Source organism: Homo sapiens, chromosome 9 (genome assembly GCF_000001405.40).
Source record: "Homo sapiens chromosome 9, GRCh38.p14 Primary Assembly".
Lineage (NCBI taxonomy): Eukaryota > Metazoa > Chordata > Mammalia > Primates > Hominidae > Homo > Homo sapiens.
Genome location: NC_000009.12, coordinates 91,726,359 through 91,739,264, shown reverse-complemented (window position 1 = coordinate 91,739,264; position 12,906 = coordinate 91,726,359). Strand labels below are relative to the sequence as shown.

The 12,906-nt window shown below is 49.1% G+C and overlaps 1 protein-coding gene across 10 annotated transcripts in view; it reads left to right on the top strand.

Annotated features, from left to right (window-relative positions):
• The window catches only part of ROR2 (receptor tyrosine kinase like orphan receptor 2), a 227,628-nt gene that overhangs the window by 210,964 nt on the left and 3,758 nt on the right, over nucleotides 1-12,906 (top strand). For 8 of the 10 annotated variants that reach the window (NM_004560.4, XM_005252008.5, XM_047423436.1 and 5 more), the window contains 4 exons: nucleotides 1,747-1,874; nucleotides 5,829-6,143; nucleotides 8,110-8,355; nucleotides 12,522-12,724. In NM_004560.4, coding sequence (NP_004551.2) covers nucleotides 1,747-1,874; nucleotides 5,829-6,143; nucleotides 8,110-8,355; nucleotides 12,522-12,724 — 892 coding nt within the window. Of the gene's footprint in view, nucleotides 1-1,746; nucleotides 1,875-5,828; nucleotides 6,144-8,109; nucleotides 8,356-12,521; nucleotides 12,819-12,906 lie in introns of those variants that run through there. The other 2 variants (NM_001318204.2, XM_005252009.4) reach the window with 2 other exon arrangements.

Sequence of the window (12,906 nt, the reverse complement as noted above, 5' to 3'; positions counted from 1 at the left end):
AAAGTGCTGGGATTACAGGCACGAGCCACTGTGCCTAGCCTTAAATTGAACAGAATTCAGATTTCATTTGGGGATGGTCTACTCTAAATGGATGTAGAATGGAAAGCCGAGTGCTCTCAGGCTTATGGGGTAGGTTCCAGATTTTCTGGAAAACAAGCTACAGGCTTGAGGTGCTCATGCAAGGCTTGTCCGAGCATCTTCAGTCCCCTCTTCTGCCAGCAGTGGCAGCCCCCGATGTGTCTGCTGTGGCTCATTGGCGTCAATGGACCTTTGGAGGGTCCTGAGCACCACTTTAAAATCCTCCAGGATACTTATCATGATGGCTTTCATTGGCTGAAGCCAGACCAACAGTTTCTGCAGAAAATAATTCAGCACAAACTCCAACCTGGGGACCTGGGAAAGGATTACCCCATCTTCCCATCCATGCAGGCTGACCGGGAGGAGCAGGAGGGAGAACAGCCTGTCCGTGTCTCTCCCTCTTCTGACCTCCTACGCCTGTGACATGCAGTCTGTGCCGTCCATGCAGCGGTGGCCAGGTCGCACTTCTGCGTAGAGTAGGCATGCATGTATGCCATTCTGTGAGTTCTTTGAGGCTTGGACTTCTTGGAGTCCCTACCATCACCTTTGAACATAGTAGAGAATACATTTGTGTATTGCTTTTCTCCTTTTCAAATATTTCTGCTGTTTACCTTGTGGATTGTCATCGTTATCATAAAAGCCTTGTTTGCAAACAAGGGAAGTTTGCAGGGGCATTGCCATAATGTCCCTGATGTATTAAATAGTTCAAGGGTAAGGTGAAACACGTGCCTGATGTTCTGGGTATGTGCATGTATACACAAACACATACCCATCCCCGTGTACCCTTCACCTCAAGAATCATCCTCACCCTTAACCAGTCCTCCCATTCTTTTTCCATACTCCCTTAAAGATGTGGAATTTTTTGAAATTAATAGGCATTTTTTAGAACAGTTGTAGGTTTATAGAAAAATTGAACAGAAAATCCAGAGTCTTCCCGCCCTCCTTCTCATAGTTTCCCTTATTTTAATGTCTTGCATTCATGTGAGACATTTATTGCTGCTGAGCCAATATTGATAACATTATTATTAACTAAAATCAGTAGTTTACATTAGGGCTTATTCTTTATGTTTTACCTTCTATGGGTTTTGCCCAATGTATAGTGACGTGTGCTCACCATTACAGTATCATACAGAATATTTCACTGCCCTAAAACCCCAGTGTGTCTCTTGGAATCCATCCCTCCCTCCCTCATAACCCCTGGCATCCACTGACATTTCTCTATAACCAGTCTCTATAGTTTTGCTGTCCATGGTTTTGCACTTTCTAGAATGTCATATGATTGGAATCATACAGTATGTATGTAGCCTTCAGATTGGCTCTTTTCACCTAGTAATATGCATGTAAGTTTCCTCTCTTTTTGTGGCTTGATAGCTCATTTTTTTTTAGCACTAAATAATACCAGTGTCTGGATGTACCACAGTTTGTTTATCCATTCACCTACAGAAAGACATCTTATTGCTTCCAAGTTTTGACAATTATGAATAAAGCTGCCATAAACATTTACATACAGGTTTTTGTGTGACTTATGTGTTCTACTTATTTAAATTTACTTATATAAATACCAAGTAACAAAATTGCTGGATCGCAAGATGCTGGATCATAAAAGAAGTCATTGGCGGGACCTGGCACCTCCCAGAGCTCTAACAGACTTTGTGTGTTTCTTACCAGGGATGATTACCACGAGGATGGGTTCTGCCAGCCTTACCGGGGAATTGCCTGTGCACGCTTCATTGGCAACCGGACCATTTATGTGGACTCGCTTCAGATGCAGGGGGAGATTGAAAACCGAATCACAGGTAGGAGCTGCAGACCTTTCTCCCAGGATGATAAGCATGCACACAGCCATCTGTCGCACAGATGGTGGCCACTGTGTTTCATCAGTTAATGGCATGGTCAGTGGGTGCCTCTTCCATTTCATTTGTGGTAGAAACCAGAGATCTTTTTTAGAAGTAGTGGCAATTGCTAACATGATTTGCCCTAAAAATGTTCCTGGCCTGTATGTTTAAATTAGCAAGTGTGGGTTGCTTGGAATATACTTCTGCACTTTTAACTCAGCCAAACCGTGTGGGTCCAAAGCACTGTCCTCACTGCAACGCCAGGGCCTCCTGCCCCGGGCCTGCCACACTGGCGCAGATAGCCTCAGCGCCCCCACACTCACTCTGCTTGACTTCTCATTCTGTACTTCCTGACTCTTCTATCCTCTCTGAGCCACGTTTGGTCCAAAGGCACCCAGGCCTGATTGCAGCTGTTTTGGGGAAAGAGTCGCGGGTCATCAGTGGTAGGGATGCTGCAGTGAACACACACTTTGTCAGTCCTGGGTTTCCAGAGAACAAAGCCACGTCTTTGGGTACCTGGTTCAGGGTCTGAGAAAGTGGCAAGTCAATTAGGAACTGCAGCTGCTCATCCTTGGTCTCATTAGGACTTAACTTCTCTGATTGGCTGTCCCAGTTCCCAGCATACAACTCGAACACATTGATGGGGTCCGGGGTCCTTCTTAGGGGAAAGGCCTTGGAAAGGAAGAAAATTAATTAGACAATAGTCCTACAGAGCCCTCCTCCTGCTGTCTCTACTCTCTCCACAAACACATACACATTTTCTCTCCAGATCCCATAAGGAGCAAGACACATCCTGTGCAGATGGCCGGTGCCCCAGCACCTCAGTTTAGTTGGATCCTCTCCATGGGAGCGGGAGGCTCTGCTGCAGATTAGAGTCAGTGGGTGATCTCTGATGCCTGCGCTCCTGGGAGAGTGTGGTGGGGCAAAGGGGATACAGGGCACTGACCTGTTAAGGGGTGACAATGAGGATCCAAGGCAGAAAGTCACCTCATGTCACTGACAAGCCCTTCTAAGTTCAGGTCACCCTCGGACTAGAGAGTCGAACATCACATTCACGGTCACAGAAGAGACTGCCTGGCCCATGTGCTGGTACAGAGACCTCTGAGGACAGGGCCAGGGGGTCCTGTGCAAACTGAAAGAGCCATCATGAGACAGAGAGGAACCTGGAGATGCCATCCTGTTCCAGCGGGAGATGGTTTTGAAAATATGGCTACCTCTCACTGCAAAAGCTTTCTTTGCCATTAAAGTAGGACTTCTCAAAGGTTTTTACCGAAACACACAGTGGAAAATAGAGAATATACTTTACGCCATGACTTAGTGTACACATACATGTATTTCACACAACTGACATAGGTTACAGGGAATAACTTTCACCCTTCGTAAAAGCGGTGCACTTGGATTTTTCTTTTCAGTTTTATTTCATTAAATAAAAAAGTGGCCGGGCACGGTGGCTCACGCCTGTAATCCTAGCACTTTCGGAGGCTGAGGCGGGCAAATCACGAGGTCAGGAGTTCAAGACCAGCCTGACCAACATGGTGAAACCCCATCTCTACTAAAAACACAAAAAATTAGCTGGGCATGGTGGCGGGTGCCTGTAATCCCAGCTACTTGGGAGGCTGAGGCAGAAGAATCACTTAAACCCGAGAGGTGGAAGTTGCAGATCGCGCCACTGCACTCCAGCCCCAGAGACAGAGCAAGACTCTGTCTCAAAAAAAAAAAAAAAAAAAAAAAAAAAAAAAAAAAAAGTTAGAGCCCTTAGTAGGAACCGTGCATTCTGACATCCTCTAGTCTGTTCTTACCATCTTTTAAAATGCTAGCTGCAGACTCTCAGAATTAATTAGACACCCTACTAATTGGCAAGCACTGATCCAGGGCACAAGATTGTCCCTCAGTTATCTCTTCAGGAGTTGTTTAAGGAATCAGCTTGCATCCAAGCAGCCTGGTTTTATAGCATCTTTTAGAGAAGAGTTTAGAATGAAGATTTTCTAGGTGGGTGGCTTTTTGAAAACAGTAAATTTGAAGTTGCTCTCAACAGACTTGTGGTTTTGAAATAAGCATAGTAATGACTGCGTTGTGTGCAGTGTTGTGTTGGAAAGTGTTGTGTGACATTCAGGGTGTGGACAGATAACAGGATGTGAGTTGTTGGATCTCTTTGTGCCTAGAATTGCACTTTCAGAAATAAGCAGTACATTCTCAGGGTGAGGAGAAGGAGAAAGAGAAATCCTATAAAGATCAGCAGAGACATCCTATCAGTGGATTAGCCCAAGAGAAGTGACAGCTTTGGCATTCTTAGACAATCTTTCCCTGCCTGGAGGTCAAGGCCTACCTACATTTTTGACAGCCATCCATATAATCCCAAATCTGTAATGATGGGATTGAACAGGGTTGAAGCCTCAGTTCTTCCTCCAAATCCAAGACATCCTGTACTGTAACTGCTTGCCCTCTCTGTTCCTCCATTTAAATATCGGCCACAGGAACCCAGAGGAGGGGAGGTGATGTGATGAGCACAGTAGTGCCTGCACACAATCAGGACAGCGTGGCTGCTCCCGCCCACTGACGCCGCCTTTTACCAGACCCCTGGGCCCATTCACGCTGAGGGCCACTTTATAGGCTCTGTGTGCACTCTCATTCCCCAGTGTGGGGTCTCAAATCACTCTTCAGGTACAGAAACAGGCCCGGAAAGGCATGAGTGATACCACAAAGTGATCACGCACAAGGCTGTTCCCACACAGCTGCCCATCCCGTTCCTGGGTGGGTTCCCAGGGAATGACTGACAGCGGCACTGCCACCTGCTGGCCAAACCTGGCACAGCACTTACACGCTTTCCTTGCCTGGAGGTCAAGGCCAGCATTCTTGACAGCCCTCTGTATAATCACCAAATAATCGCCAAATCTGTAATGATGGGATTGAACTGCATTCGTGGGTGGAGTTAGGGCTCCTCAGGGACTAAATGCCAGCTTCTGGGTTTTCTGCCACGCTGGAGGACACAGCCTCTGCTGGGTGTGCAGGCAAAGGGGCCTGTCTGCCTCCACTGTCCCCAAGCTCAATTGTTGTAAGCCAGCCTTTCACAGGTGAAAATGGGGTAGTGAGCCCAGGGCAGGCTGATGCATTCCTTAGAGCCCTGCCTTGGCCAGCTTCTTCACCCTTACCAGTGTCCAGCCATGCACCCCAGGTGCAGCAGATCTCTCCCCAACACCCCCACTTTGTTCCCGAACTCACCCCATCTTCTAACCACCAAACTGCATCCTCTGACATCTTGCCCTTAAAAAACAAACCGCCCTACCAAAGGGGGCTCTGGATCTTCGGGTTTTTCTGCTCCCCCTTATCACAGAACCTTCCAGAGTTGTAACGCGGCTCTCCTCCCACTTTGCTGCTCTCACCCTCTTGGCTTTCCGCATTTTACCAACTGTCTCCTCCAGCTGCAGTTCACAGAGCTGAGCTGACTCCCTCTTCCGGGACAGCCTTCTCCCCAGACAGATCTGGGACATTGGGAAGCCTGGGGCTCGGTACTGCACTTCTTGGCCTGCGCTCTCCACACATGGCGGGTCCTTAGGATCTGCTTTTGCATCTGAAGTCTGAACCCTCTTGTCCTGGAAGAAGCACCTAGCGGAGTGAGCTAGGGGGCCGAGTTTTCCTTCTTTCTTGTTCTGCTTCTGATGTTTCTAAGTGAGGCCCTGGGACCAGGGACTTTTCTGTGACTGCTGCAAATCAGAGCAGGTGATGGGCAGGCTGGCCTGCTGGTGGGGAGCCTCTCCAGGGTGGTGTGCGGGGCTCGGGGTTGGGGAGTCTGGGGCGGGGCGGGGCATCAGGGGGCTGAGTGGGCAGTCTGGGATGCCAGGCTGGGGGTGGGGACTGGATGAATGTCAAGGGCGCAAGGTGGGTCCCCCGCTAACGCGAGTCTCGCGGGCTCTGCAGCGGCCTTCACCATGATCGGCACGTCTACGCACCTGTCGGACCAGTGCTCACAGTTCGCCATCCCATCCTTCTGCCACTTCGTGTTTCCTCTGTGCGACGCGCGCTCCCGGACACCCAAGCCGCGTGAGCTGTGCCGCGACGAGTGCGAGGTGCTGGAGAGCGACCTGTGCCGCCAGGAGTACACCATCGCCCGCTCCAACCCGCTCATCCTCATGCGGCTTCAGCTGCCCAAGTGTGAGGCGCTGCCCATGCCTGAGAGCCCCGACGCTGCCAACTGCATGCGCATTGGCATCCCAGCCGAGAGGCTGGGCCGCTGTGAGTGCCCGAGGGCCCGGGGCGGGACCGGGGGGCGCAGGGAGTGTAGGGCCCTTGAAATGTGTATGGGGGTGTCGGTGAAGCCCAGGGAGCCCCATCTGTCCAGGCCCCACAGAACCCCCTTAGCAGCCGAGGGCCCCACAGCCTAGGCCTCCATTCCAGCAGGGCAGCAGGCGGGGCCTCGGATCAGGGGCTTTGGAGCCATTCAGCCCCAGGCTCGCATGTGGGCTTGCACTGTGTCCAGCTGTGGGACTCAGGTGAAGTCCCTCCACCTGCTTGAGCCTGGGATTTCCCTTCTCTGAAATGGGAGTGATCTCACTTCCTGTGGAAATGGCTGTTGCGGGCATGAGAGGAGACAGGGCCAGCTTCCTAACTTGCCCGACGGTCAGCACGCACTCGGGCCGCCAGGCGAAAATGCAGACTCTCAACTCCTGCCCCAACCTCCTGAAACCTGGAGGATCAGTCCCCAGAAACCTGTAGGATCCTTAGCCTTGGATGAATGTGAGGCCCACGGAGATGCTGCAGGACTGGCCTGGGAGGGCACCTGAGAAGAACCTGTAACAATCAGGCATCACTAGGGAAGGAAATACAGGGAAGCACCGTGCACCTTTCTACAGGTCCCTGAATCGTGGGGCCTAAGGGATGAGCGTGGGGGAGGGGGACAGTTCTGAGCCCGGGGCCTGGGTGTGGCCTGTTTGGGGTCTGCACAGGACGAAGAGCATGCTCCCCACTGCCCCTCTTGCTGGCAGCAGCCCCTGCCCTCTGGAGGCTTAGTAAACCCCAAGTTGTGAGCCCCAGCAGGGTGGCCATGGCCAGTCAGGATGGCAGACACAGGACAGGGAGCGCTGCTTATGTCTCCGAGGAAAACCATTGGCTGACATCACTGCATCCATACGGGTTGTTGCCTCCCTGAGGAGTGAGACCTAGGGAACGGGCCACCTCCGCCACAGCTCCGGGGCTGTATTTAGCATCGTTGGCTAATCTGGGGGTCCAGGAATGGCCAGGACTCCTTACCAGGACCAGCCAGGGCCTGGTCCTTGGGCCCGTTGCCTGCATTCAGACCCTCATTGTGACCCTGGACAAGTTGCTAAGCTCTCATATCCTTATATTCCGTGGGGATGACACCAGTACTAACCCGTGGGGCTGAAATGAAGGTCAAATGAGGCAATATTTAGGAAGGTGGTTTTTTTGTTTGTTTTGTTTTTTTGAGACAGAGTCTCACTCTGTCACTGAGGCTGGAGTGCAGTGGCATAATCTTGGCTCACTGCAACCTCCACCTCTCAGGTTCGAGCGATTCCCCTGCCTCAGCCTCCTGAGTAGCTGGGACTACAGGCGTGCGTTACCACATCTGGCTAATTTTTGTATTTTTAGCAGGGACGGAGTTTCACCATGTTGGCCAGGCTGGTCTTGAACTCCTGACCTCAAGTGATCCACCCGCCTTGTTAGCCACGGTGCCCCAGCCAGGAGGGTTTAGAGCAGCGCCCCACACATGGTAAACACTACAGAAATGTTCACCAAATGCACACCCCAACCCCAGGGTTCCTCCATGGAGGTGGCGTGGCCTGCACTGTTCTCACCCATGGCTGAGCAGGGTGTCCTGAGATGGAGGGGCCAGGCCCTTCTTGCTTGCACAGTTGGCTTTCTTCCTAGAGCAAGTTGATCCTGAGGCTGGGGAGACATCCCCATTCTGGTGGGGTGGTGGTGTGCAGGTGCCTCGTGGGTCCCAAGAGATGGTTCTGGGGCTGTGGAATAACTTTAGACAAGTTTCCTTCCCCATGCCTATCCCTGATGTGCCCTGCATTTAATTTGTGGGCTTGGGACTTCATTAAGCCATTACTTTTAATGCCTCTTTTCTGGTAAGTTATGTAAAATCCTTGGATCTTTTGGAAATTCTAGTTTGGGCATGTGTAGGCAGAATGGTTTTGTTGTACCCCGGAGGTTTTCCTAACGTGTTTTCCTTGTTCAGACCATCAGTGCTATAACGGCTCAGGCATGGATTACAGAGGAACGGCAAGCACCACCAAGTCAGGCCACCAGTGCCAGCCGTGGGCCCTGCAGCACCCCCACAGCCACCACCTGTCCAGCACAGACTTCCCTGAGCTTGGAGGGGGGCACGCCTACTGCCGGAACCCCGGAGGCCAGATGGAGGGCCCCTGGTGCTTTACGCAGAATAAAAACGTACGCATGGAACTGTGTGACGTACCCTCGTGTAGTATGTATTCTCTCTCTCTTTTTTTAATGTGTTGATTGTTGAGTGAACCTTGTGATGAGGGCGTTCTGTCCTGACCTGGGTTGGGGTGTGCCTCTGTACGGTGGCGACCAGAGACCCCTGATCTTACCACAGTGACCATTTTAAATAAAGCTGTTGGGCCACGCGTAGTGGCTGATGCCTATAATCCCAGCACTTTGGGAGGCCGAGGTGGGCAGATCACTTGAGGTCAGGAGTTCAAGACCAGCCTGGTCAACATGGTGAAACCCCATAAAAATACAAAAATTAGCCAGGTGCGGTGGCACATGCCTGTAATCCCAGCTACTCAAGAGACTGAGGCAGGAGAATCACTTGAGCCTGGGAAGCGGAGGTTGCAGTGAGCCAAGATTGTGACACTGCACTCCAGCATGGACAGCAGAGTGAGACCCTGTCTCAAAAATAAATAAATAAATAACGCAAGTTATTGGTTGTTATGAAAGTAACATCTGACCATTACAAGACATTTTAAAATATAGAAAAGTCTGAAGAGTAATGTCAGATCACCCCTAATGTTACCACCCAGTAGTGACTTGTTTGCGTTTTGGCCCACCCCCTTCCATCAGCCCTTTTCCCATGTATGGATGGTCCTGGGATATTCACTTTGACATTTTGTTTCTCCATTAACATTATCTCCCAGTGCGGTGGCTCACAACCTGTAATCCCAGTACTTTGGGAGGCCAAGACGGGTGGATCTCTTGAACCCAGGAGCTTGAAACCAGTCTGAGCAACATGGCAAAAACCCGTCTCTACAAAAAATACAAAAATTGTCCAGGCGTGGTGGCACACCTACTTGGGTGGTGGAGGTGGGAGGATTGCTTGAGCCCAGTAGTTCAAGGCTGCAGTGAGCCATCATGGTGCCACTACGCTCCAGTCTAGGCAACAAAACAAGACCTTTTCTCAAAAACAAAAAACAAAAAACACCATTATTGCTCAGTAGTTCCTAATATTCGTAAAAATATTTCCCTTCCACCCACCAGCTTTTGAGCTTTTCACTGCTTCTCAGATTTTACACTTAGGTTTGGTGGAGTGAGGCGAAAATAGAATTCATTGCTTGTCCTCATTCCTTGCAAGTGTGTCTGTAATGTCATGAATATGGAAGCTCACGTGGCTGATGGTTGACAGCTTCGACAGTTCTCACCTCTGTCTTAGTCATGCCCGGTTCACCAGTCCAGGCAGCAGGGTAACCAAGGCTGGGCTGGGAGCTGGAAGCAGCAATTGGTGAATGAGTGGGCACCCGCGGATAAAGAGAGAGCAGCCGGTGAAGCGAGGCTGGGCTCACCATGCACCTGGAGATCTCCTCCTGGGGTGCAGGCCCGCGTGTCTCTACTCCGAAGTGCAGGAAATAAACACTGGCACTAATGACCTTCCTGATGTGTGATTCAGCAGCTCCAGATTTGGCATTGCCTCTGGCTCAGCAGATCAGACACAAATCTTCAAGAATGTGTTCATTATGGGAGAACAAATTTTAAGAATGAAATTATCAGTCATTCAAATTGCGGTCTAGGCACTCTGGAGCACTCCAGACCTTAAAGCTGTCCTGCAATGAAGGATGGCCCTGTGCCCTGTAAGGAACAAAAGCAGGTTGTAGGACAGAACTGTGTTAGAGGTGCTTTTTTGCTTATTGTTTTGTTTCTGGCAAAAGGAAAATGAGTGGGAGTTTGTGTGTGAGCACACACAGGCTCCTGACTTTTACGAGGTTTTGGAAAGATGGATATCAAACTTTTAGCAGTGATTTCCCCAGACCTACAAAAGTGTTCAAATACAAGACTTTTTTTTTTTTTTTTACAGTGAGTAGGAATTACTTTTGTAATTAAAAATAAATCAAAGCATGAAAAAAATGTATGATTTTGGACCAGTCAATTCTTAGAATCTTGTATCGCAGGTTTGTACTTACAGGGCATAAATGGAAGGATATTTATTGCAGAATCACTTGTGAGAGCTAAACATAAAACAGACTGTTTATCAGTAGGGCTGGATGGGGCAGTTGGAGACGCCTGTGCTGTGGAGTGGCATGCAGCTGTGGGAGAACACACATATCTATCTGCTCCAACATGAGCTGCTGTCCAAGAGATTTTATTCTGCCAAAAAAACAGGAGCAGGAAAATATGGATGACACGATTCTATTTAAAATCAAGTTCATTTAGGCCGGGTGTGGTGGCTCACGCCTGTAATCCCAGCACTTTGGGAGGCCAAGGCAGGCGGATCACCTGAGGTCAGGAGTTCAAGACCAGGCTGGCCAACAGTGCAAAACCCTGTCTCTACTAAACATATAAAAATTAGCCAGGCATGGTGGCGGGCGCCTGTAATCCCAGCTAGTCGGGAGGCTAAGGCAGGAGAATCACTTGAACCCAGGGGGCAGAGGTTGCAGTGAACTGAGATCCCACCACTGCCCTCCAGCCTAGGAGATAGAGCGAGACTCCATCTCAAAAATAAATAAATAAACAAACACTCTGTCTCAAAAATAAATAAAATAAAGTTCATTCAACATTCGAATTAAGAAAACCATATAAAACTACTGTGTCTATATGTCAGAATAGTTGAATATCGGTTGTTCCATGTGGTTCAACCTAAAATATACATAAAGTTAGGAGAACACGAAACTTAACCATTTATAGCCTTTGGGAAAGAGGACTGTTAGAAATACTATCTTTTGAAAGGCCACATTTCTGTAATACTACAGTTTTTCCCAGTAAGCATGAGTCATGTTGGTAATGTTAAGTAGATAATAAAAGCAGGTGATGGTGTCAGTGTGAGCTCACACCTCTGGTCTTGGCGTGAGAGTGGCCTGGACTCTCCTGCTAACCTTAATAATGAAAAATGAACCAAACCCTAGTAAAAAAGAATGAATCGGCATCCCCAGTGCCCCGAAGATTTCTGGAACACCTGCCTCAGAACCCTTTCAGAGGGGAAGCTGCTAGGTGGGGCCAGAAGAAAGTTTTGTTTGTGGTTTTACTTGATTTCTTCTTATTTGGGGGAGCAGGGGTGGGGCAAGGCTGGGTTTTGGGACAAGGTGCTTTTTTCCTAAGGTGGCAGTAGCATGTTCACTTTTAGAACCGAGTTAGCTCTTTTAGGCCTCACACTGACCAGAAATCACTTGTTTGCTTCCAGATGAGAAGCGCTTTGCCCCCTGGCCATGGGGCCCTCTAAGTCTGATATAGTTATTTGCAAGGTTAAGGAGAAAACAGAACACCGTGGTTTTCTGGGGATGTGGGAAAGTGGCTCTCTAGAGAACTCACCTTCCACCAGGCTTAGGGTCAGCGTCCTGAAACGGCACCACTTTGTCTTACATTCAATTGCTTTGACGTGTGGGGTGCTTGGGGCCACGCAGCCTGGGAGGAGCCAGCCCTGCCTGGAGTCCTGCTCAGAATCTGAGGTCACCTCAGCCTGCCTGGTGTGCCCCCTGTACCTTTCTGTAAATCCTGTAGAGGGAGACAAAGAGTTACTTTTCCCTGTGATTTAAAAAAAAAAAAAATGCAGGGAAGGTAGCTGGTGGCCTTGAATCTTGGTACCCAGTGCTTTCCAAGAATTCTTGTGCCCCTGTTGCATATTGTATTGGGTCAAGAGCATGGACTACTGGTGCTCTTTTAAATCTAGTGCATGTTTAATTATTACCCTAAAAGAATCTGTCATCATTAGATAAAAATGTGAAGAAAACATTAAAATGTTGAATGAGGAAAAGGATCGTGTCTAATCCCAGTACCAAGTTTCACTCACCTTGGACAAGGGTCTCCAGTGAATTTCATGAACTTGTCAGTAGCTGGGGAGACCTTGATAAAAGTGAAATTGGGCAGAGCACCTATCTCCGATGGTATTCAAACATCAGGAACAGAAAGCGGATGTGGTCGTTATTAAGATCATTAGAATTCATTTACTTTTTATACTGCATATTCCCGCTTGTTTCCAGGTTGGGCAGTTTTGGGTTTTGTTTCCCCAGGATGCAGCCGGGTGTGCATTTTTTGGTGCATCATGTTTTTTAAGGTGTGGTGTGCCCTTTTACCCCATTGTGTAACTTAGGTGATGACACACGTGCACGTGAAGATTTTGGCTGGAGGTGGAGAGTGGGTTGGTAGAGAACTTAGAGTAGAAAAGGGATGTTTTCTGAAAAATCACGAAAGCCTTATTGTTCACAGGTCCCCGAGACAGCAGCAAGATGGGGATTCTGTACATCTTGGTCCCCAGCATCGCAATTCCACTGGTCATCGCTTGCCTTTTCTTCTTGGTTTGCATGTGCCGGAATAAGCAGAAGGCATCTGCGTCCACACCGCAGCGGCGACAGCTGATGGCCTCGCCCAGCCAAGACATGGAAATGCCCCTCATTAACCAGCACAAACAGGTCTCCATGCCTTACATTTTCTACCCGGGTGGCTCTTCCAGGTTTAATCCTCAGGGGTTGTTTCCCCCAACATTAAATGTCTTAATTTACTTGATACATAGCACATAATTATTTTAAACTCCGCTTCATTTTGCCATTTTTTTTTTCTGTAAACTAGATCAGGACATGTGTGCTTTAGAAAA